The sequence below is a fragment of the Homo sapiens genome, chromosome 14 (genome assembly GCF_000001405.40).
Source record: "Homo sapiens chromosome 14, GRCh38.p14 Primary Assembly".
NCBI classification, from domain to species: domain Eukaryota; kingdom Metazoa; phylum Chordata; class Mammalia; order Primates; family Hominidae; genus Homo; species Homo sapiens.
The window spans coordinates 50,729,047-50,752,445 of NC_000014.9; the positions used below are offsets into that span (position 1 = coordinate 50,729,047).

Genomic DNA, 23,399 nt, shown 5'->3' on the forward strand with positions numbered 1-23,399 from the left:
GGCATGGGATGGGAACATCAGGCCAATTGTGCGCTGTGTTTAAGTGATCCTGATACTTCATCGTTTATTACAAATGGGCAAATCGTCTATTACAGAACACTAAATGACTCAGCTTAGAAGCTGAGAGCTCAAAAGTAGCACCGCAGTTCTATGGATTTGTCATACAGGTTAAATATCTCTCTGAAAGAAGATTTAGGATTGTGATTTTGTTTTTTTTTTTTTTAATTTAAGAGATGGAGTCTTGCTATGATGCCCAGGCTGGAGTACAGTGGCTATTCACACACATGATCGTAGCTCACTGCAGCCTTGAACCTCTGGCCTCAAGCGATCCTCCCGTCTCAGCCTCCCAAGTAGCTGGGACTACAGGTGTGTGCCATTAGATTTAGGTTCTTTCTCTCCACCTTTGAACTGGTATAACTTTCAAATAAACAGGTAAAATTAACAGGTGATCTACTAGAGTAGAGAGAGCTTCATACCTGTGGTGTGTTGGTTTCGGAGGTCCTGTTTTCAAGTTCCTCCTGCAGGTGCTGGTTTATCCTTTCTGCCTGCAGCAGCTGGCGTTGAAGCTGCAGAAACTGCTCCCTGGGCACCATCGGACAGGCTTGCTGCTGGAGCAGCTGCAAATCCCAAGCATGAGGGGACGGGCTAGGCGTCGCAGTGGACCTCAGGTGCTGCATCTGAAGGACAAGGGCAAAGCCCTGTTCAGCTGAGTCCCTTCAATCCCAGAGCTGCCCTTTATGGTGTCAGGCAGTGAGTAATGAAGACTATTAATTCATTAATAACCCCAGACCCACTGAAACTTGGAAACAGGACAGCATATGGGCCCGAGGAATACAGAAATGAGAAAAGCTATTTCGCTTAGCAGAGAATATGCTTAATAAGTAGGCTTTCTTAAAAGTTTTAGGCTTAAAAAGCCCTTCCCAACTCTGGAGTGATATTAAGGGCACGATGTACATAATACATGTGAATTCTATTTCATTTTTTCTTATACTGGAATAATTACCTCCCCCCTTTTAAAAACGGGTTGGAGAAAGTGGCTATGCTTTAGGGTTTTACCACTTTACCATTCATAAAGATTGTTAAATGTTCAATGACTATATTTTTTCCAACCCCAAGTTAGCAATTTTTTTTGGAAGAACCTCATCTTGCATCTAAAATTATTTTAACCTACCTTTAGTTTATCAATATGTAATTATACCCTTAGATTAAACAGCACAAGACAGACAATTCTGGGGCATAAAGCAATAATATCCTAGAACATCTGGGAACTGGAGAACATGGAATGGAAGTATTCAAGACAATGAGGAAATGTGTACCAACATGCCAGTCAAAGTGGGGGAGAGGAAAGGGAGGACGATGCACAGCATTTTGGGCAGTGAGGCAGGCCACCTCACATCTATACACACGCGGAGCATGCAACAAACATTACCAAGACTAAACTCAAGAAGCGGCACCTCCAGGCTTGTGAGAAGGTGGAAAAGGACCTCTAAGACTCGGCTATAACTAAATGTTGTCATGAAATGTCAGAGCCACTATCCATTTCCTTATATCTAAATTTCTAGGTGGGGGTGGGGGCATTGCCCACTTTGAAATACCTCTAGTTGTAGATTCAGAAAACCACTTTGTTTTCATGATAAAAATTATGGAGAATTATCCCATAATTTTATATCAGTGGGATAATTTTCTTCATATATAATGCTTTAAATACTGAGGAAAAGTTTGATGTAAACAGACATATTATACCATTAAAACAAAATGAATACTGGCTCTTTCCTTAAGTACTTATTAACTGTTACAATCAACAGAAATAACATGAGCAAGGGGTTTAATGAGATGGCTCCATGCTATGAAAGTTCATTGAAAGAGAATGTTCTACCTTCACACACTATCTCAGGCAGAGAACTGCACCCTTCTCTGCTACTTCCAACCACTGAGTTCTAGGTACAGGTTAGCCACAGACAAGACAAAAAGAAGAGAAAATTACAGGAGTTAGAGAAAAGTATGAGTAATAAAAAGAGAAAGAACAGTACTAATTAGGTCTATTATATACATGAATAAGAGCATATGAAAGACACATTTTTCTGTATATAAATTTACAGACATTAAAATGTCTTACAACTCTAATTCTACAAGTGCATCTTCACTTACTGTATCCTATTTGTGCCCCGCCCAATATAATGATTTAGAAGATTCCAGGTCCAGGCCAGGCGCAGTGGCTCATGCCTGTAATCCCAACACTTTGGGAGGCCGAGGTGGGCGGATCACTTGGGGTCAGGAGTTCAAGACCAGCCTGTCCAACGTGGTGAAACCCCGTCTCTACTAAAAGTACAAAAATTACCCAGGCATGGTGGCACGTCGCCTTTGGTCCCAGCTACTCGGGAGGCTAAGGGCGGAGAATTGCTTGAACCTGGGAGGCAGAGATTGCAGTGAGCCAAGATCACACCAATGCACTCCAGCCTGGGTGACAGTGAGACTCCATCTCAAAAAAAAAAAAAAAAAAAAAATTAGGTCGCGTATGGTGGCTCACGCCTGTAATCCCAGCACTCTGGGAGGCCAAGGCAGGTGGATCACGAGGTCAGGAGATCAAGACCATCCTGGCAACGTGGTGAAATGCCATCTCTACTAAAAATACAACCAGGCATGGTGGTGGGCGCCTGTAATCCCAGCTACCTGGGAGGCTGAGGCAGAAGAATCGCTCGAATCCGGGAGGCAGAGGTTGCAGTGAGCTGAAATCGCGCCACTGCATTCCCACTTGGTGACAGAGCGAGACTCCGTTTAAAAATAAATAAATAAAAAAGATTATTCCAGGTCCAGTACAGAATGGATCTGATGTTAAATCTCTTGCCACTTGGAGACGCAGAATGCAGTATAAACTATAAGCCATTTTGTTGTTTAAGTGTCTGAAATGTTAGCTATCATAGAGGTACACAAGAGACTCGAGAACTGCTGATATAGTCTGTAACCCTTTTGTTGAGTGTTCAAAACAAACTTATTGAACCGCTCATGTTGAAAAAGCTCCGAAGTAGGCGTCAAATTCTAGCCCTAATTTTTTTCTTTACCTAGTCTAGTGATCTGTGATCTTTAATTACAGTGGGGGGATGTGTTATGTTAGAACCGTGACTGTTAAACTAGTATATAGAGATGAGAGACTACTTCCCCCAAGGGAGTGCACATATCAGGTTAGAACCATGAAGACAGCTGTGCTCAAATCCCCTGAATCCAGAGATTCTGATATAGAAACCTGTCCCTGCCCAGCCTGCCACCCGTTGCCCCAATCAGGTAAGAATCCCTGCCAGAGTGAGAAGGAATGTACCTATCCCTCAGGTGAGCTGGGACACACTGTGCATCCCCCAAATTAACCTACTCTATAGGTATCATACTATAAATAAAAATCCAATTTGTAGCGCTGGAGAGGGGGAATGGTTAATGCTTAATAGCTACAGCCGAGTGATGAACAGGTTTTGGAAGGAGTGGTAATGGTTGTAGGATGTTGTGAATTTAATGAATGCCACTGAATTGTACATTTTTAAATGGTTAAAATGGCAAATTCTATGTTAGGTATATATTTATCACAGGTTAAAAATTAATATACTAAAAACCATTGAATTGTACACCTGAAATATGCGAACTACATAATATGTGAATTATACCTCAATAACACTGTTTTTGTTTGTTTTTTTGTTTTTTGGGTTTTTTTTTGAGACGGAGTCTTGCTCTGTCACCCAGGCTGGAGTGCAGTGGTGCGATCTCAGCTCACAGCAACCTCCATCTCCTGGGTTCAAGTGATTCTTCTGCCTCAGCCTCCTGAGTAGCTGGGACTACAGGCGCATGCCACGGCGCCCGGCCAATAACACTGTTTTTAAAAACTTCAATCTGGAGAAATATAGGAGAGATCAGGGAACTCCCAACACTTTGGGAGGCTGAGGTGGGAGGATTGCTTGAGCCCAAGAATTCAAGGCTGCAGTGAGCTGTGATCACAACACTGAACTCTAGCCTGGGTGACAGAATCTCAAAAAAAATATCCAATTTGTGTAAATCTATAGCATTAATAATTTTTTTTTTTTGAGATGGAGTCTTGCTCTGTTGCCTAGGCTGGAGTGCAGTGGCACGATCTTGGCTCACTGCAACCTCCGCCTCCCGGGTTCAAGCGATTCTCCTGCCTCAGCCTCCTGAGTAGCTGGGATTACAGGCGCACACAACCACGCCCAGCTAATTTTTGTATTTTTAGTAGAGATGAGGTTTCACCATGTTGGTCACGCTGGTCTCGAACTCCTGACCTTGTGAACCACCTGCCTCAGCCTCCCAAAGTGCTGGGATTATAGGCATGAGCCACTGTGCCTGGCCAATAATTCAGTTCCATTTCCTAATGAAAGTTTCATTAGAATAAATAGGTATGAGATGTTCTTTTCAGTGTTCAAATAGAAAAATCCATGCTTTTTCCTTAGCTGTTCGGCTCCAGTGTCAAGAACACTCAATTTTCCTCCTCTGTTAGCAAATATTTACTACTAGGTGGGAAAACAACAAGGGGAAATTGCTTACGATGGCTAATAATGTTAATGGGTGCTGGGTAAAACAGGAACAGGCAGGAGAAGAACTGGTCTCTTGGCAGAGCCTCTGGAAAGGCTCTCACAGTGACTAAGTACACACTGCTACTTTTCAATTTGATACTAGACATATGGGCTTAGTTTTAGACATCTTATTCCTCAGAGTATATAATTATATTTCATCAGAAAAGCATGTCTACATCTAAGTACAGCCCACAGCTCAAAGTTTTGAATGCATTCATTATATTGCTGTTAAAAAAAGAAAAAATGGTTTAGACTTCACTAAAACTTTCATGAATTTCCCCTTTAGTTGATAAATCAGAGAACACAAAATTGACAAACTTCACTGGTGATTTAATGTTAGTGCTATACGTTTGCCCATATTTCACATTAAAAATCAATGCTTGGTGCTTGGTTTTTAAAAGCTACCTTTGCATGTGGCCAGCTTCATAAAAGAAAATACTTAAATAGCTCCATTTCTTCTTTTTCTTCTTTATTTTTTTTTTTTTTTCTTTTTGAGATGGAGTCCGGCATTGTTGCCCAGGCTGGAGTGCAATGACGTGATCTCGGCTCACTGCAACCTCCGCCTCCCAGGTTCAAGCAGTTCTCCTGCCTCAGCCTCCCAAGTAGCTAGGATCACAGGTGCCCACCACCACGCCCAGCTAATTTTTTTGTATTTTTAGTAGAGACAGGGTTTCACTATGTTGGCCAGGCTGGTCTCGAACTCCTGACCTCAGGTGATCCACCTGCCTCAGCCTCCCAAAGTGCTGGGATTACAGGGGTAAGCCACTGCGCCCGGCCCCATTTCTTCTTATAATTCTGGCTTAACAATATGTGTATACACAGTACTTTTTAAGAGCACAAAAAGACAATTTCTACAGGTTCTTCTCTGCCTTACATAAGTCTTATAGTTCACTAAATGTTAGATTAACTAATTTCATTTACCCAAGGTATATCAATGAAATCCTTAAGAAGGATGTACACATAAGTTTGTTATATCCTATAATTAAACTCGGTATTCAGAAAGCAATCTAGAAGACTGGAACTCAAAGTCCAAGCTGACAAGCTAGTTTTACAAATCCATTTTTTTTCTTTTTCTTTCTTTTTGAGACAGGGTCTCTCACTGTCTCCCAAGCTGGAGTGCAGTGGTGTGATCTCAGCTCATTGCTACCTCCAACTCCTGTGCTTAAACAATCCTGTCTCAGCCTCTCAAGTAGCTGGGACTACAGGTACGTGCCACCACACCTGGCTAATTTTTGTATTTTTTTTTTTTTTTGTAGAGACAGGGTTTCGCCATGTTGCCCAGGCTGGTCTTGAACTTCTGGACTCAAGCCATTTGACTGCCTCAGCCTCCCAAAATGCTGGGATTACAGGTATAAGCCACCATGTCCGGCCACAAATACATTTTCATAGTGATCAGATGTACCTCTCACAAGGCAGTCCTGAGTTCTAAATGTAGTAATGAAGAATAGCAGCACTTGAAATTAAAACTTCCAAATGTTAATGCTCTCAAATTTCCCGCATGGATTTCCCAACTGAAGAGGGTGCTAGAGATCAATCATGTCTATAAAATGCTGCAATATAGGAGGGATCAGTGAACTGGTATAAACATGGTGATGGCAAGAGTGCTCAGGGCCCCTTGGCTAATCAGAGAGTCCCTGCCCCCTGAATTTGCAGAGGTACAGGTCTTTGCATTTTAGGTCATCATTATTACTTACTCTGAAAAGCAGTATGGCTTCCTATGGCAGTATAATGAAGCAAAGTTGTCTGTTAAACTTGGTAAGGCGGACCAAAGAATTCAACTTGGCAGTGTACTTAGATTTTCACAACGGGAATTCAATGCCATGTCTAGTCTCTCCCAACAAATACCTCATTCATGGATTAACATATTCTTCATAGCTAAGGCCATCTGCTGAGAAACTTACCTCCATGAGCTGCTCATCCAGTTTTACTTGTTTCTTTTTCAGGCCTTCATTTTCCAAATGAATTGTTTCTAATTCTTGTTCAAGGGAATTCATCTGACTGACCTGTTTAAAAAAAACAAAATATTCCCTTGAAACAGAAACAAAAACACTTGAGTTGTTCTACTTTATTTTGACAAATCTGTGCTTGTCAGAAATCTCAACTCTTGGAAGAAAGCCAAGTTAATTCAGTGACAAACAAATAATACAATTCAGTGTATTGCTTACATTTAAGTAATCTAGTTTTAATCACCTGTCCTCACACAGAATAGATTCCTTAAGGCAGCTGGCTTTTAAACTTGGATGCCACCCACTGTAAGAAATACGTTTTATCTTACAACGCAGTACACACACCCACACATATGTACAGTACATATCACTGAAATATCCTTACCATGGACCATGTACTCTGATATTTTGTAGTATATTAATAAAAAATGCTGGTTTCCATTAAATTGATTTCATTATCCTCTACTATGGATCTGCAGCAGGAAAAATACTGTCTTAATGCAAACTTAAAGGCTTAAAATTGAGAGTACATAAAACCTGATTTATATAACTTTTTAATTTTAAAGATTTCGTGAGTACCTTTTTTTTTTGAGACAGAGTCTCACTCTGTCACCCAGGCTGGAGTGCAGTGGCACAGTCTCAGCTCACTGCAACCTGCGCTTCCCAGGTTCAAGCGATTCACCTGCCTCAGCTTCCCAAATAGCTGGGACTACAGGTGTGCACCACTGCACCCAGCTAGTTTTTGTATATTTTTTTTTTTTAGAGATGGGATTTCACCATGTTGATGAGACTGGTCTCGAACTCCTGACCTCGTGATCTGCCCACCTCGGCCTCCCAAAGTGCTGGGATTACAGGCATGAGCCACCGCGTCCAGCCTCACTTTTATAACTCTTTACTACAGGAAGAACCTAGTGAGCTAGAGGACACCGAGTCAGAATATTGCTCAGTAAAAAACATACAACACTATCTTAGAAAGCTGATTTTGCTTCTATCAAAAAGAGCTGAGGAGAACAGCAAGAATTGTGAAACAGAAGTGTAGTCTTCCAGGTCCATTTTAAACTTCAGTATTATTAAAAGCCTATCACAGACTTTTCTCCCCCTAATGAGCAGCTAAATGAAACCCATTTTCTTTCTGCAAAGTTTACTTGAATGTACCTGAAATTAAATGACATTTCAGCTTTAGAGCACAACCAGGTCTTCTTACTGCAAATGGTCATGATAACTTTCACAAAAAACAAAAATTTTATGAATATTTTATAATGAAATATTTTTCTCAGATTTCTAAACAGACCATATTTTTTATAAAGAGGTAATAGTGAAAACTGAGTTTCAGTTTAGAAAAAGAAAAGTAACAACTCTGAGAAGTCTGGTCTAGAACTCTAACTTCATGGGACAAATTACAGAAAGCAAACTGATTGGCACTGCAGAGGTGTGACCAGGGGGTAGCCAGCCTCCAAGAGGCCTCAAAGAGCCCCACCTCCGGGTATTCACACCCTTATACAGTCCTCTCCCACACTATACTAGGGTTAGTCTGCGTGACAAATACAGTGCAGCAGAAATGTTGGTATGTCACTCGCAGGATTAGATCATAAAGGGACCACAGCTTCTGTCTTGGTCTTTCGGTCTCAGTGTCTGTTTCATCACTCCTTCTGGGGGAAGCCAGATGCTACACCCTGAGAAAAGGCCCAGGTAGTGAAGAGCTGAGGTCTCAGGCAAGCAGCCAGCAAGGAACAGCAGCCTCTTGCTAACAGTTGTACAAATGAGCTTGTAAAGTAGATCCTCTAGCCCCAGTGAAGCGTTCGGGTAACTGCAGGCCTGGCCAACATGTAGACTGCATCCTCATGAGAGCCCTGAGTTGGACCACCCAGCTAAGCTGCTTCTGAAATCCTGACTTGCAGATAAGACAAGAAATGTTGTTTTAATTTGTTACATAGCAAAAAAAAAAAAAAAAAAAAAAAAAGCCCATATTAAGATGTTTCTAATATTCGAGTGATAAATATTTTGCCAACTTATAAGGGCTTCTAATACTAATAAAGATGATTAATTGCCTTCTTTAAGAAGCTTAAATTGTGGTTTTTTGTTGTTGTTTTTTTTTTTTTTTTTTAAACAGAGTCTCACTCTGTTACCCAGGCTGGAGTACACTGTGTGATCTTAGCTCACTGCAACCTCCGCCTCCTGGGTTCCAGCAATTCTCCTGCCTCAGCCTCCCAAGTAGCTGGGACTATAGGCATGTGCCACCATGCCTGGCTAATTTTTGTGTTTTTTTAGTAGAGATGGAGTTTTACCGTATTGGTCAGGCTGGTCTCAAACTCCTGACTTGGTGATCTGCCTGCATCGGCCTCCCAAAGTGCTGGGATTACAGGCATGAGCCACCACACCCGGCCAAACTGTTATTTTTTCAACCATTATTCAATCAAAAAGAACCACGATGCTATTTTGACAAGATAACAGCATAAAGAGATACATGCCAAAATATGCCATCGTAATCATTTCCTTAGAAGTACACCTGAGAAGAAACACACTTAAGAACGCATTATAGTGAGAACACAGATGTACGCCATATATTCTCAAAAACTCACCTTCCTGTTAGCAGGAGATTGTTCTTTCTGAAACTGATCACACTCTCTCTTTAAGCTCAATTTTTCTTGCTCTGTGGGATTCATGGTACCTGATGGGTTTAGATGTTTTTGGTGCTTGGGAAGAAGATTGGATTCCAACTGACGGACCTAACAGGAACAAATGTAAGAGGAAAAAATGCTAATACAATCACCCAGCCAGCAAAAACAACAAACATAGGGAAAGTTTTAATTCAGTACTTGGGTCCTGTTTAACATCCTTTTTCAATCAAGCCTGTAAATACTTGAAGCTAGCTTTTCTGGATTTCAAAAGACCCTTTCTAGGTGAGTCTGGTTGGGTCTGCAAACCCAGGACTGTAGGAACAAGACTGGGAAGAGGGGACTTCTGGGTCTACTAACTCTCCAGGAGTCAACAGTGTATGTGATGTGGCTGCCAGGAAAACAGGCACAGTGGTCCCAGGCCCTTTTTTTCTGACATGAACACTACTTTTAGGAGAGAATGGGCTGACAGTTCCCATCTGCTCTTATTGGACTATTCACATCTAAAACAGTTCTACGAAGACATGAACCATGTCTGTCTTGCTCACCACTGCAGCATCCGTGATAGCAGTTTCTGGCATGGAGTAGGTGTTCTAACTAAATATCTGCGACTCTTCAGAGTTCCTCCTCAAAAGGGGTGTTAAGCATAGGTTAAATATCATTGGGAGACTATGCAGCAGAGGTAAGGAATTCAAGCACCAAGTTGGTGGTTGGAAAAGACCTTAAACCTTGAAATGCTGTCTTTTAAAGGAGGCACCTTTTTCTCTCGTGAGGAGTTATTTAGACCTGCAAGATCTGAGTCTAGTTTTACCATTTTTGTACTACTAGTCTTGGTGGCCAGCCAATTTGAAGACTATATGGTTCACATAATTTCCATGAGTCTATATTTTGGATATGAAGATTAAAGTCACAAATATATTTTAATATAAAACTGCTTATAAAAATATTTTATAAACATCAGGATAAAATTATATGTGAGTAAATGATAAATGATACATTCTTAAAATAAGTCTGCTATAGCAGGATACTCAAATCCATACCTTAGAACCATTCCAATCATATCCAACATTCATTTTCCTATCAAACTAGTCATTTTCAAACATATGCCATGATGTGCAGCTTCTCCAATTACCTTCTCCCGGGAGTGCGTGAGTTCGGCTTTGGTGTTCTGTACCATGGTCTGGAGCCTCTCATTCTCTTGCCAAAGCAGCTGCTGTTCCTCATTCATCAGATGATCCAACTTGTCCCAGGACAGCCTTTTCTGCTGGTTATGGAGCCCTGATGGATGAGTAGCTATCTCTGGGGCCCAGCTCTTAAGAGAATTGCAGAGTGTAAGCCTTAAAAACAAGCTATTGGGTAATTGCTGTTTTGAGACAGGTGTCATGTTTACCCAATGACAACGACTCCTAATAAGTACCTTTCAATTGTCCCCTCAGTCTTCTAATGAAAGTATGTGTATGTACATATAAATATGAATAAAACAATATTCTTGAAGTTTGATTTAAACAAAAAGATTTGGAGAGTCTCTGTTTAAAATGGTCTTTGACAAAACAGCCATGCCATGTCCAATAATGAATATGACTGTAGGGCAAGGCCCAGTTCCATAAAGGACCCAAATGCATTGAGACTGGTGGCTTAAAAGTTGCTTCATTCTTACGAAGTTATCTTTAAGCCCAGAAGATATTCATTTGATTCACAGAGGACATAAAGAGAAGGCTGAAATGCACTGCCAACTCAAAAGCTTTCATAGGCTAAACTCTACTTTCATTTTCACATATGCAATCATATCCTTTTTTTAGAATCCAAAGCACATATTGTCCATGTAATTAACGTCTGAATTCAGAAATGTGCTTTCAGCTACCAAAGTGATTTTTTGGATCTTGAAAATGATTTAAAAAATTAAAAAGATAACACAAATAGATAAGCCTCTTACCTTTTAAACCAAACATGAAAAAAAAAAAGGTACAATCTCATTTTCAGAAAAAGTCAACCCAGAAGTAATTTTAAAAATGGAAACTTTTTTTTTTTTGAGACAGACTCTCACTCTGTCACCCAGGCTGAAGTGCAGTGGCACGATCTCAGCTCACTGCAACCTCCACCTCCCGGGCTCAAGCAATTCTTATGCCTCAGCCTTCCAAGTAGCTGGGATTATGGGCGCATGTACTACCACAGCTGGCTTTTTTTTTTTTTTGAGACAAAGTCTAGCTCTGTCGCCCAGGCTGGAGTGCAGTGGCACGATCTTGGCTCACTGCAACCTAGCCCTCCCGGGTTCAAGCGATTCTCCTGCCTTAGCCTCCCGAGTAGCTGGGATTACAGGCACTCGCCACCATGCCCAGCTAATTTTTTTTATTTTTAGTAGAGATGGGGTTTCAACATGTTGGGCAGGCTGGTCTTGAAGTCCTGACCTCGTGATCCGCCCGCCTAGGCCTCCCAAAGTGCTGGGATTACAAGCGTGAGCCACCATGCCTGGCCATTTTTGTATTTGTAGTAGAGACAGGGTTTCGCCATGTTGGCCAGGCTGGTCTTGAACTCCTGGCTTCAAGTGGTCTGCCTGCCTCGGCCTCCCAAAGCGCTGGGATTACAGGCATGAGCCACCACACCCAGCCCAAAACAACTAGTTTTTTTATAAAAAGTTTCACCAAGAGATAACTGAATGTGTCTACTTTTATTGTAGGACAAAATCTTGACATCTGCCCCAAAATGACATCTATAACATTGTTCTTAATTTATTTGCACACAGATTAGGCAGCACTGTGACTTATTAAAATGAGACACTTTCTACCACACCACCATAATGTGTCAGCCAGCTAACACTTTAATCAGCTCTTCCTGGACTTTCTGGTGCCATAGCAACCTATTTGTAGCAATGAATTATCTCCTGAAATTCAATACTATTGTTTTATGCCTTTTTAGCAGAAGCTGTACTTTTTTGCAAGTCTGTGTATAAGTTCCCAGATTAATTTCTTGCAATGTTTTTCTACATTTGATTTTTTTTAAGGTCACACAAATACTTTTCTCTACCATTTAAGAAAATGTTTTAGTTTTGTTATTACAAAACTCAACTCAGCCATGGTCTTCTGACTTGCTCAATACAAAAAAAAGACCTGTTTTATATCACTATGGTTTCATTTATATGAAATTTAGAAAAAAGCATCCCTAAACTACAGTGGCAGAGGGTACAAAAGTGGTTCCCTTGGGGTTACCAACTGGAGGGAACAAGAGAGAGCCTGCTGAGTGCTGGAAATGTTCTACATTTTTATCTAAGTGATGGTTATACAAACACAGATACATAAAATATGCATATTTATATGTACATACATATACACATAAAAATAACCAAGTTGTCCTAAGATTTGTATACTTTACTGTAAATAACTTATACCTAAATAAAAAAAGAACAAATCACCTTGCCACCAGCATTCTGAAGTTGCTTATGTAAAGACATCACTTCTTGTTTTAAAGCCTCCTTTTCCTGCTGAGTCACTCGTAGGTCAGATTTCATCCGGGACATTTGCAGGTTTACATTCTGCACGGTGTCTTCTAAATTCTGAACCTGTATTGTGAGAATGATCTTTTACTGCTACACAAACTCTTGTGGTCTCACCTCTAGCATGTTCAGGAATGAATAAGGACAAAAGAACTTTCAAGTCTGTTTGTTTCTCTTTACTAAATCCAGCTTTCTTGTCAGTAGCTCAGTGGAAACCTAGGACAGTAGGTATATTTACAGGATGTTAAATTATATTTAGGACAATGATGAACTATGTCTGGAGCAAGGTATTGCTGATAGTCATCTGGTAGATTACTAAATGGTATCTTACAATACCAATGGGTGCCAACTGGCATCACAAAAGATGGTTTCACTGAATTTTGTAGAAATTGTTTTAGCCTATGATGTTGGACTGTAAAGGACCCTCTTAGTTGCAAATAAAAATATATACTTGTAGAATCCTATTCTAGGCTAGGCATGGTGGCCCACACCAGGAATCCCAGTACTTTAGGAAGCCAAGGCAGGAGGATCGCTTGAGCCCAGGAGTTTCAAACTAGTCTAGGCAAGATGGCAAGACCCCCCATCTCTACCAAAAATAAAAAGCTGAGTGTGGTGGCGTGTGCCTGTAGTCCCAACTACCTGGAAGGCTGAGGTGGGAGAATCCTTTGAGCCCAGGAGTTTGAGGTGGCAGCAAGTGGTGATCCAGCCTGGGATACAAAGAAACCTCACCTTTTTTTTTTTTTTTTCTGGAGACAGAGTCTTGCTCTGTCGCCCAGGCTAGAGTGCAGTGGCACGATCTCGGCTCACTGCAACCTCCGCCTCCCAGGTTCACGCCATTCTCCTGCCTCAGCCTCCCCAGTAGCTGGGACTACAAGCACTTGCCACCGCGCTCGGCTAATTTTTTTGTATTTTTAGTAGAGACGGGGTTTCACTGTGTTAGCCAGGATGGTCTTGATCTCTTGACCTCGTGATCCGCCTGCCTCAGCCTCCCAAAGTGCTGGGATTACAGGCGTGAGTCACCGTGCCTGGCTAAGACCTCACCTCTTAAAGAAGAATCCTATTTTACGCTAATACCGCATATAAATTCCAATTTTAAAAATTTAAATTCATAAAGGGAATGTTGATATAGATCTTCAAAATAGGGCATAAACTGCCTTAGAAGTCCTATCTATAAATTAGGAACAAGCAGTCATTTTTATGCACTATTCTCAAGCCTTCATAATTAATAAACTTTGATGGAAATATTTAAATTATTTTGCTGCAATGTTTGAAATATTATTTAAATCATTTTGTCATACTATATTTACTTTTCTTTTTTTGAGATGGAGTCTCGCTCTGTCGTGCAGGCTGAAGTGTACTAGCATGATCTTGGCTCACTGCATCCTCTGCCTCTTAGGTTCAAACAATTCTCCTGCCTCAGTCTTTGGAGTAGCTGGGACTTAACAGGCACCTGCCACGACACCAGGCTTTTTTTTTTTTTAATTTTTAGTAGAGATGAGGTTTCACCATGTTGGCCAGGCTGATCTCGAACTCCTGACCTCAAGTGATCTGCTCACCTCGGCCTCCCAAAGTGCTGGTGAGCCACCATGCCCAGCCTTGCCACACTATAAACACACATCAAACATTGGTCAAATTGAATCATTTGGAACCCTCTTACGCTACTTCTACCTGGAACACTCTTTTTACCGGGATTTCTGTTGGAAGATCTAGGAGAATACTAACCGTGAAGATGAAACAAGAATTGTCCATGTACCTTTTCCTGAGAAGCCACCAGCTGTGACTTTAAGCTCGCACTCTGATGTTCCCAGGATTTCTGTTCCTGCTTCATCGTCGCAATTCTATGCTCTAAAAGACTTGATTTTGCCAACTGTTTCAGGAAGGGAAAAAGAGGTAAGAGGGCATTTTTGCAAACATAGCTAGCCTTAATTTATATGCCTGCACTTACATTGTCAAGAACAAGTACCATCTATTTATGTAGGGGAGCAGGGCAAGGTCAAAGGAAATGGTCTTCCTGGCTCCAAATCGAGACAAACCAAAGACTGTTTTACACGTCTAATTTTGAGGAGTTGCTTCTTTTTGGAAATTTCCTATTTTTCTTTTCTATTGCCTCATGTTTTGAGGGTGGAAGATGGTAAGCTGGAAGGCCATTAAAAATCTCAAGAGCATACCATAGGAAGAAAACAGAATATCTCTTAAGGCAGGTGGGGAAAAAAGGTGGTGTTTTGGGATTTGCTAAAGAAGATAAAATAGAAAAAAAGTGTTTATCTATGAAATTGATCTCAGATTATTAAACACATAATTTATATTATAACAAAATAGCGGTATAAAGTAGCACTGTGATGTGATAAGAAACATTTTGTATTATCGAGTTTAATAATATAATTAGTAAACAACTAATTTAGACTTCATCAGTCTTGGCTGCAGGAAGTCTGGGGTCACAGAATGCCAAAGAAATGCTGCTCCAGGACACTCTGGAACAACAGACTACCACAGGAGGCCCCTGTGCCACTGTCCACAGAGAAAGGTTCATTATGGTGTGTATTGTATACGATGATGGTAAAGTCTTATTACTTCTACTACCTTATCGACACAGCTATTTAATTCCTCACTCAGAGCTTCCTTTTCTTTCAGCAGTTTTTCGTTGTAGCTTAGAACACTAGAGATTTTTTGCTGGAAGTCAGAGAGATCGGGACATCTGTGCAGCTGTAAGAGATAAACAAATGAGCCCTCCCATCACATCTCATGGCTGTAAGTACAAAGGGGTATTTCTAAATAGGGCATTTTCACAGCTGCTGCTATTTGCCTATCTGTGGATATTTCAGAGGACATAAACTCTAGCAGAGACTATAATAAACTTCAAGGATTCCCTTCTGGCTTCTCTCTGATTCCCAGTTGACTGTTGAAATGTCTGCTTAGGTAGATTGAACCAGGCAGACATTGTTAAATAATGATCCTAGCTCTCCTTTTAAAAAACCAGTCAAGACTATAGAATTGGGCTGTGGGGGTGGCTCACACCTGTAATCCCAGCACTTTGGGAAGCCAAGGTGGGGAGGATCACTTGACCTCAGGAGTTTGAGGTCAGTCTGGTGAACATGGTGAAACCCTGTCTCTATTAAAAATAATTAGCCAGGCGTGGTGGTGCATGCCTGTAATCCTGGCTACTCAGGAGGCTGAGGCAGGAGAATCGCTTGAACCTGGGAGGCAGAGGCTGCAGTGAGCCGAGATGACTGCACTCCAGGCTGGGCGACAGAGACTCTGTCTCCAAAACAAAACAAAAAAACCCCCTAGAATTGGCATGAACCACATACAAGTAACAACCCAAAGGCAAGTTTAAAGATAAAACCGTGTTTTCAGCTTGTTCCCTGTACTCTTCCTTTCAGAAGGTGCCTACGCTGACTGGCCAGTAAAATGTTGTTGGTGCGAACATACTGGCTTTTCCTCTCCACTTCATGAAATCAAGACAAACCAAATACTGTTTTTTATTCGTCTTCAATATCAGTGCTGGTACTAGTCTCATTTTGGGCTGGATAATTCTTCAGGCGTTGGGGGTCGCGGGGCATTCTGGACACTGTAGGATGCTTCACAGCGTCTCTGGCTTTACTCAAAAGATGGCAGTAACCCCCCACCTTCCAGTTGTGAAAACAAAAAATGTGCCCAGACATTGATAAATGTTCTGGGGCAGGAGAGCAATCCTCACCCCTTCACCCTATTGAAAACCCATGCTTTAAAGAGGCTGTTTCTTACACTTCTTAACCCTTTTCCATAGTTCATAGGTTTTTAACTTTCCTCTATTTCACTTGACTCTTCAATTCTTTATTATCATTATGATTTTACGACCATCTTTCTACTTCCTGAACCTGAAATTCTTTCACATTTAGCTGTAGGAATAGTATGACAAAACAGACTTTCAGGGTTCAATCTTGTCTTCAACTGGTGACAAATCCAGCATACCTTACAAATCTGAACAAGTCAGAAGGATATAGGAAAATGTATTTTGAAATACCTGGGCACTGGTTTAATAAAGGACCTTCTACTTTATCCACTGCCTTGTCTTCCTACCCTCCAGACACCCGTAAAGCTTGATACCATTTTGGATGTCTGTAAACTGGCATGTAACTTTTGCTGATGCTATTTGTGTTTCCTTTCAGTGCAATAGATAACACAGATAGAAGTGCTTTGTGAACTATGAATCACGATATCATACAGAGTGACACATGCCTTCTAGGTCCACGTTGTATAATAGCAATGATGGGCTGACGCTACCCTATTCTTGGGATCCAAAAGGATCCAGGTCTCTGATAAAACAACTTTCTACCAAAGGCAGACCAGGCTCACAATTTCTTCATCTCACTATTTATACCAATGCTTGTTTAAAAAAAAAAAAAAAAAAGCAATAAAAACGTGCTGAATGACATCCCCATCATGTTGTTTTTCTCCTAGCTCTGCTCCTTTCCTTCTGTTCTCCAGCTTAGCAAAGCCACAAAGCACACATTTCCCATACTATGAATTTGAAACCAATCATTATCATCTAAAGGCTGAACAACAGACAGGCTTTCAAAAAGTCAAGGAAAAAAGGATGCTCAAGTTAATTAGGATAAAGTTGGTAATAACAGCCTTGGAATACTTCACCACACTACAGAAAGGCCCCATGAGTTTTAACTTCTGTTATGTTTATATGGACAGGCGACTTCTCTAGTCACGGCAGAACATGCATTTTGCATAGCAGTAGTTAACTTGAAAAGGTTCTTATAAAGCACCTATTGAGTACCAGTACTATACTAGGCATTATGAAAGACACACATACCCTGAGGGTTTTATAATGCTATTAAAAAAGCAAGACGCATAGGAGTCAATCAGATCAACATAAACATAATACCAGATTTATAGACTCAATGTTTCCACATTCAGGAAAGGACAACTTTGTGCTTACAGGTTGAAGAGACAGATGTTAAGAATGAAAATTTTATATGAGTGCCATCACAATCTGATGCTGAAGTAAACAAATAAAATGGAACAACTAAATTTTCCTACCATAAATCAAGATTGTTCCAATTGAAAGACTCCTGTAAATACTGAAAACAGGACAATGTTTAGGATGCAAATTGTTTTTTTCCAACAATGCATTTCTCCATGAGAGGACATAATTTTTAAGTTGAGACCTCTTTCATATTTTCATATTTAAAATTAAGCCTTTTTTCTTTCTTTCTTTTTTGAGACAGAGTATTCTGTCGCCCAGGCTGGAGTGCAGGGGCACAGTAGCGCAATCTCAGCTCACTGGAGGCTTGACTTCCCGAGCTCAGGTGATCCACTCATCTCAGCCTCCTGAGTAGCTGGGACTACAGGTGCACACCACTATGCCCAGCTAATTTTTTTGTAGAGATATGGTTTTGTCCTGTTGCCCAGGCTGGTCTCATATTCCTGGCCTCAAGTGATCTGCCCACCTTGGCCTCCCAAAGTATTGGGATTACAGGCATGAGCCACTGCGCCTGGCCTAAAGTTAAGCCTTTGTTTGAAACTTTGAAACAGGCTTCTGAAGGCCACATTCATGAGACTGCATGCCATCATGCTCTAGAACTGATGCCTCATAGTTGCTACAGAAAAAGGCAGAAGGATCAGTTTCTTCAGTGCCTCACAAATCAGTGTGAACAGAATTAGAAAAGTTATAAGCAAGATAGTCCCCCTCCTTTTAGACAAACATATGTTACTTTATAACCTGGCTGGGTGACAGAACAACAATTTCTTAAACTGAAGTGGTTGGGATTCATTTATGATAATAGAATTTTAGAGTGGGCCGGATGCAGTGGCCCGCGCCTGTAATCCCAGCACTTTAGGGGGCTGACGTGGGTGGATTGCTTGAACCCAGGAATTCAAGACCAGCCTGGCCAACATGGCAAAACCCCACCTCTATTAAAAACACAAAAATTATCTGGGCGTGGTGATGGGCACCTGTAATCCCAGCTACTCGGGGGGCTGAGGCATGAGAATTGCTTGAGCCTGGGAGCTGGAGGTTGCAGTGAGCTGAGATCACACCACTGCACTCCAGCCTAGGCAACAGAGGGAAGAAGGAAACTGTCTTAAAAAAAAAAAAGGGGGGGATTTTAGAGTGTACAACATATATAAGTTAGACACATGTATAATTAGCAATAGCCTTTACAGATAGGATTTTGCACTTTAGGTCCTCAACTTTGCCAAGCAGTATGTCCTCAGCTACCAAGCTAGTTGACAGAACTTGGTACAAAGGACAACTGGTGGTTAGAAATACCAGCCCAACAGGAGCCCACCAGGTACATATTGTTCTGTGAACCCCCCTTAGCTGCACACAGCCTTACCTGTTTCATTTTCTCCAGTTCATCTTTGAGAAGGTGGTTTTCCTGTTGCACAATATGGGTCTGTATTTTAACTTCAGAGAGCTCCGCCTCCAGAGAAGACACTAAAGTGGAGGACTAAGAGAAAAATGAAAAAGTCAAATAACAGACATACATATTTAGGCTGGGGAAACTTACCAGGTTCATAAAAGGCCATATTAAGGAAACAGTAATATGAACTCAATGACACTGTTTTATGACCATTTTTTATCGTAAAAGACTTTCCACTTAAATGGCATGGAAAATTCAACATCATGCTAAAAACTCTCAATAAACTAGGTATTGATGGAACGTATCTCCAAATAATAAGAGCTATTTATGACAAACCCACAGCCAGTATCATAATGGGCAAAAGCTGGAAGCATTCCCTTTGAAAACTGGCACAAGACAAGGATACCCTCTCTCACCACTCCTATTCAACATAGTGTTGGAAATTCTGGCCAGGGCAGTCAGGCAGGAGAAGGAAATAAAGGGTATTCAAATAGGAAGAGAGGAAGTCAGAGTGTCTCTGTTTGCAGATGACGTGATTGTGTATTTAGAAAACCCCATTGTCTCAGCCCCAAATCTCCTTAAGCTGATAAGCAACTTCAGCAAAGTCTCAGGATACAAAATCAATATGCAAAAATCACAAGCATTCCTATATACCAATGATAGCCAAATCATGAGTGAACTTCCATTCACAATTGCTATAAAGAGAATAAAATACCTAGGAATACAACTTACAAGGGACATGAAGGACCTCTTCAAGGAGAACTACAAACCACTGCTCAAGGAAATAAGAGAGGACACAAACAAATGGGAAAACATTCCATGCTCATGGATAGGAAGAATCAATATCGTGAAAATGGCCATACTGCCCAAAGTAATTTATAGATTCGGTGCTATTCCCATCAAGCTACCATTGACTTTCTTCACAGAATTAGAAAAAACTACTTTAAATTTCATATGGAACAAAAAAGGAGCCTGTATAACCAAGACAATCCTAAGCAAAAAGAACAAAGCTGGGGGCATCAAGCTACCTGACTTCAAACTATACTACAAGGCTACAGTAACCAAAACAGCATGGTACTGGTACCAAAACAGATATATAGACCAATGGAACAGAACAGAGGCCTCAGAAATAACACTACACATCTGCAACCATCTGATCTTTGACAAACCTGACAAAAACAAGAAATGGGGAAAGGATTCCCTATTTAATAAATGGTGTTGGGAAAACTGGCTAGCCATATGCAGAAAACTGAAACTGGACCTCTTCCTTATACTTTATACAAAAATTAACTCAAGATGGATTAAAGACTTAAATGTAAGACCCAAAACCATAACAACCCTAGAAGAAAACCTAGGCAATACCATTCAGGACACAGGCATGGGCAAGGACTTCATGATTTCTAAGGTAAGTTTTGCATGTTTCTCCACTGTAAAATTACTGTCTTTTTCTTGGAGGAGATACTTTGAGACTATACAAATTCTATTTCTCCTCAAACTTCTGCTTATTAATTTTAACATCTATCAGTGCATTTTGTCTACAACTATTATTACTGGGGTGTTTGCCTAATGATGATTTTCTATTTTCTTCTTCATTTATTAATTGGAATTAGAGCTGTTGTTTTCCCTCCCAGCTTAAATTTTTATATCAATATGGACTCATTTATTTATTTATTCAGTTTTTTTGGTGGGGAGATAAGGTCTCACTCTGTTGCCCAGGCTGAAGTGCAGTGGTGCAATCTTGGCTCACTGCAGCCTCGACCTCCCAGGCTCAAGCGATTCTCCTGCCTCAGCCTCCTGAATAGCTGGGACTATAGGGGCATGCCACCATGCCCTACTAATTTTTTTTGTATTTTTTGTAGAGATGGGGTTTCACCATGTTGGCCAGGCTGGTTGCAAACTCCTGGGCTCAAGTGATCCACCTGCCTTGACCTCACAAAGTGCTGGGACTACAGGCATGAGCCACTATACCTGGCTGGTATTTATTGTAGTCTATGTTTATTTCATAATTATATTTATTTTATTCTATACTATCATTTATTTTGGTGATCAAATTGTTCCAGCTTTGGCCATCAGGACACAGGCCCTTTTGACATGTCCTTTTTTTTTAAAACATCTTTTTCCTTCTGGCCCCATCAGATGTTCCAGGCTTATCCTGTATTTTTCTCTGCCCCAGCCCTAGAATCAATCATTTTTCCAAGGAACCCTGGTTCCTTTTATAGGAGAATGGTGCTTAGTAACCAAGATCTGGGCAATCCATGCATATATACACATCTGTGTTTCTGTATCTATCTAGCTTTGTATACATATTAGAAACCATGAGTTTATCCAAATACCGCAGATCTCAATGTAACATCAGAGGGCTCATCTTAGCATTCCCCATTGCCCCACTTGCAACTTCTTCTCCAACAGTGAGAAATCTAGTTCTTATTGTTCACAACATATTTACTTATTTGTTCAATTCTAGTAAGACATATAGTAGTTTCAGAATTACTAACCCATACCTCTTATGAGAATCCTGTTTACTGACTAGATTATCATAGCATGTAGATACAGTTCATCTTGTCTTTAGCCTGGATAGTATCCAGTCAAGATATTAATTTCTGAATTACTTAAGAGAATTGTTTTCTTCCCCAGTGTGGTTATATTACCCATTTATAACACAGTTAGGCTCATCTGTTCATGTATGTGCTCCCTTTGGGTTTCTTCCCCCACCACTACCATATTGATTAGTTTTACTTGTGCACTTATTCTGGGGGTAAGTGAAGAGTATGTGAAACGTTACTATGGTTCTAAGAGTCAGAGCTATACGAAAAGATAAACTCAGAGAAGTGTCATTGTTCTTCCTCGTCCCTTCTAGCGCATTCTCATTCCTCTGTTCCATCCCTTTCCCACCCTCCCTTTTTAGTTTCTGGTTTATCCTTCTTGTGTTTCTTTTGCACAAATGAGCAGACATGTACTTTTTAATATCCCTTTCTTACACACACAAAGGCATTCTATAGATACTTCTTTGCACTTTTCTTTTTTCACTTAACAGTATGTCTTGGAAATCATTTCATATAAATAAGGATTTCTTTTCTTCCTTTTTCTTGAACAGCTGCACAGTACTACTTCATGGTATGGACATAACCCCCACATGTATTCACCTACTCTCCTACACATCAGCATCTATGTTGTTTCCACCATTTTGCAATTAGAAACAGTGCTGCAGTGAGTAACCCTCTGCATATGAGTTTTCATATTGTTGCGGTGGTATCTTTAGGGTAGATTCCTAGAAGTGAGATTTCCAGGGCAAAAGCTAGGTACATATGTAATTTTGTTAGGTATTGTCAAATTCACCTACAAAAAGGCGGTACCAGTTTGTATTCTCCCAGCAAAGCATGAAAGAGTCTGTTTCCCCACAGCCTTGCCAACAGAGTATGCTGTCATATTTTAAAATTGATGCCAGTCTTATAGGTGAGAAATTATACAAGTGTTGTTTTAATTTGCGTTTCTCTAATTTTGAGTGATTCTGAACATTTTTCCATAGATTTGAGGGCCATTTTAATAATTTTATTTTATTATTTAGAGATAGGGTCTCACCCAGGCTAGAGTGTAGTGGTACAGCCTCAAGGGATCCTCCTGCCTCAGCTTCCTGAGTAGCTAGGACCACAGGTGTGTGCCACTACACCCAGCCAATTTTTAAACTTTTTGTAGAGATGGAGTCTTGTTATGTTGTCCAGGCTGGTCTTGAACTCCTAGGCTCAAGCTATTCTCCTGCCTCGGCCTCCCAAAGTGCTGGGATTACAGGTGTGAGACACCACGCCTGGCCCATTTTTATCTTTTGTATATGATTTATTTGTTCGTATGCTTCTCCCATTTTGCTATCAAATTTTTGGTCCCATGTCCCTCCATTTTTAAGAGTTCTTTACTAGCAGGGATATTAGGCCTTCTCACTGTGGTATATGTTGTGAATATTTTCTCCTAGTTTGTCAGCTGTCTTCTAACTTTGTTTATGGTATCTTTTTGCCAAGTAAACTTTTTTTAACATATAATCAGTGTTTTCTTTTATTGCCTCCGGTTTTTGAGTTACAGTTAAATAGCCTTTCTTTACACCAGGGTTAAAGACAAATTCACCCGTATTTTCTTCAAATATTTGTATAGTTTTTTTTTTTTATATTTAGTCTCCTAATCCAATTAAGTTTATCCTTGTGCATGGAATGAAACATAGGTCTAATTTTATCTATTTCCGAATGTCTACTCAGTTGTTCAGGCACCATTAATTTAAAAGTCCATCTTTACCCCAGTGGTTTGAGAAGTGGCCCTGGTTATACACTACGTTTCCATTTGTATTTGGGTCTAATTCTAGACTTTCTATTCCACTTACCTACTTATCTATTCATGTGCCAGGACCATACTGTTTTAATTACTAAGGCTTTATGTTTAAGGAA

General features: G+C 40.5%; 1 protein-coding gene and 1 long non-coding RNA gene across 32 annotated transcripts in view, besides 1 other annotated feature; one reads left to right on the top strand and one right to left on the bottom strand.

The window, feature by feature from the left end:
- The window catches only part of NIN (ninein), a 111,741-nt gene that overhangs the window by 9,284 nt on the left and 79,058 nt on the right, over window positions 1-23,399 (bottom strand). For 27 of the 31 annotated variants that reach the window (XM_047431452.1, XM_047431439.1, XM_047431453.1 and 24 more), the window contains 8 exons: window positions 18,946-19,059; window positions 15,197-15,319; window positions 14,370-14,483; window positions 12,536-12,682; window positions 10,262-10,441; window positions 9,094-9,240; window positions 6,470-6,571; window positions 477-677 (listed from right to left, as the gene is read on the bottom strand). In XM_047431452.1, the coding sequence (XP_047287408.1) occupies window positions 477-677; window positions 6,470-6,571; window positions 9,094-9,240; window positions 10,262-10,441; window positions 12,536-12,682; window positions 14,370-14,483; window positions 15,197-15,319; window positions 18,946-19,059 (1,128 nt within the window). Of the gene's footprint in view, window positions 1-476; window positions 678-1,876; window positions 1,938-6,469; window positions 6,572-9,093; window positions 9,241-10,261; window positions 10,442-12,535; window positions 12,683-14,369; window positions 14,484-15,196; window positions 15,320-18,945; window positions 19,060-23,399 lie in introns of those variants that run through there. The other 4 variants (XM_047431437.1, XM_047431448.1, XM_047431436.1 and 1 more) reach the window with 2 other exon arrangements.
- LOC124903313 (uncharacterized) lies at window positions 14,418-17,030 on the top strand. The gene is made up of 3 exons (XR_007064161.1): window positions 14,418-14,506; window positions 15,029-15,364; window positions 15,997-17,030. It is a non-coding gene; the product is annotated as an uncharacterized LOC124903313 (long non-coding RNA).
- Window positions 14,856-16,055: an enhancer, noted in NCBI's record as "BRD4-independent group 4 enhancer chr14:51210620-51211819 (GRCh37/hg19 assembly coordinates)". NCBI's record gives its function as "activates an origin of replication core promoter dependent on BRD2, P300/CBP, MED14 and CDK7 cofactors, and independent of BRD4, by STARR-seq in HCT116 cells {active_cell/tissue: HCT116}" and the evidence as "EXISTENCE:reporter gene assay evidence [ECO:0000049][PMID:35650434]".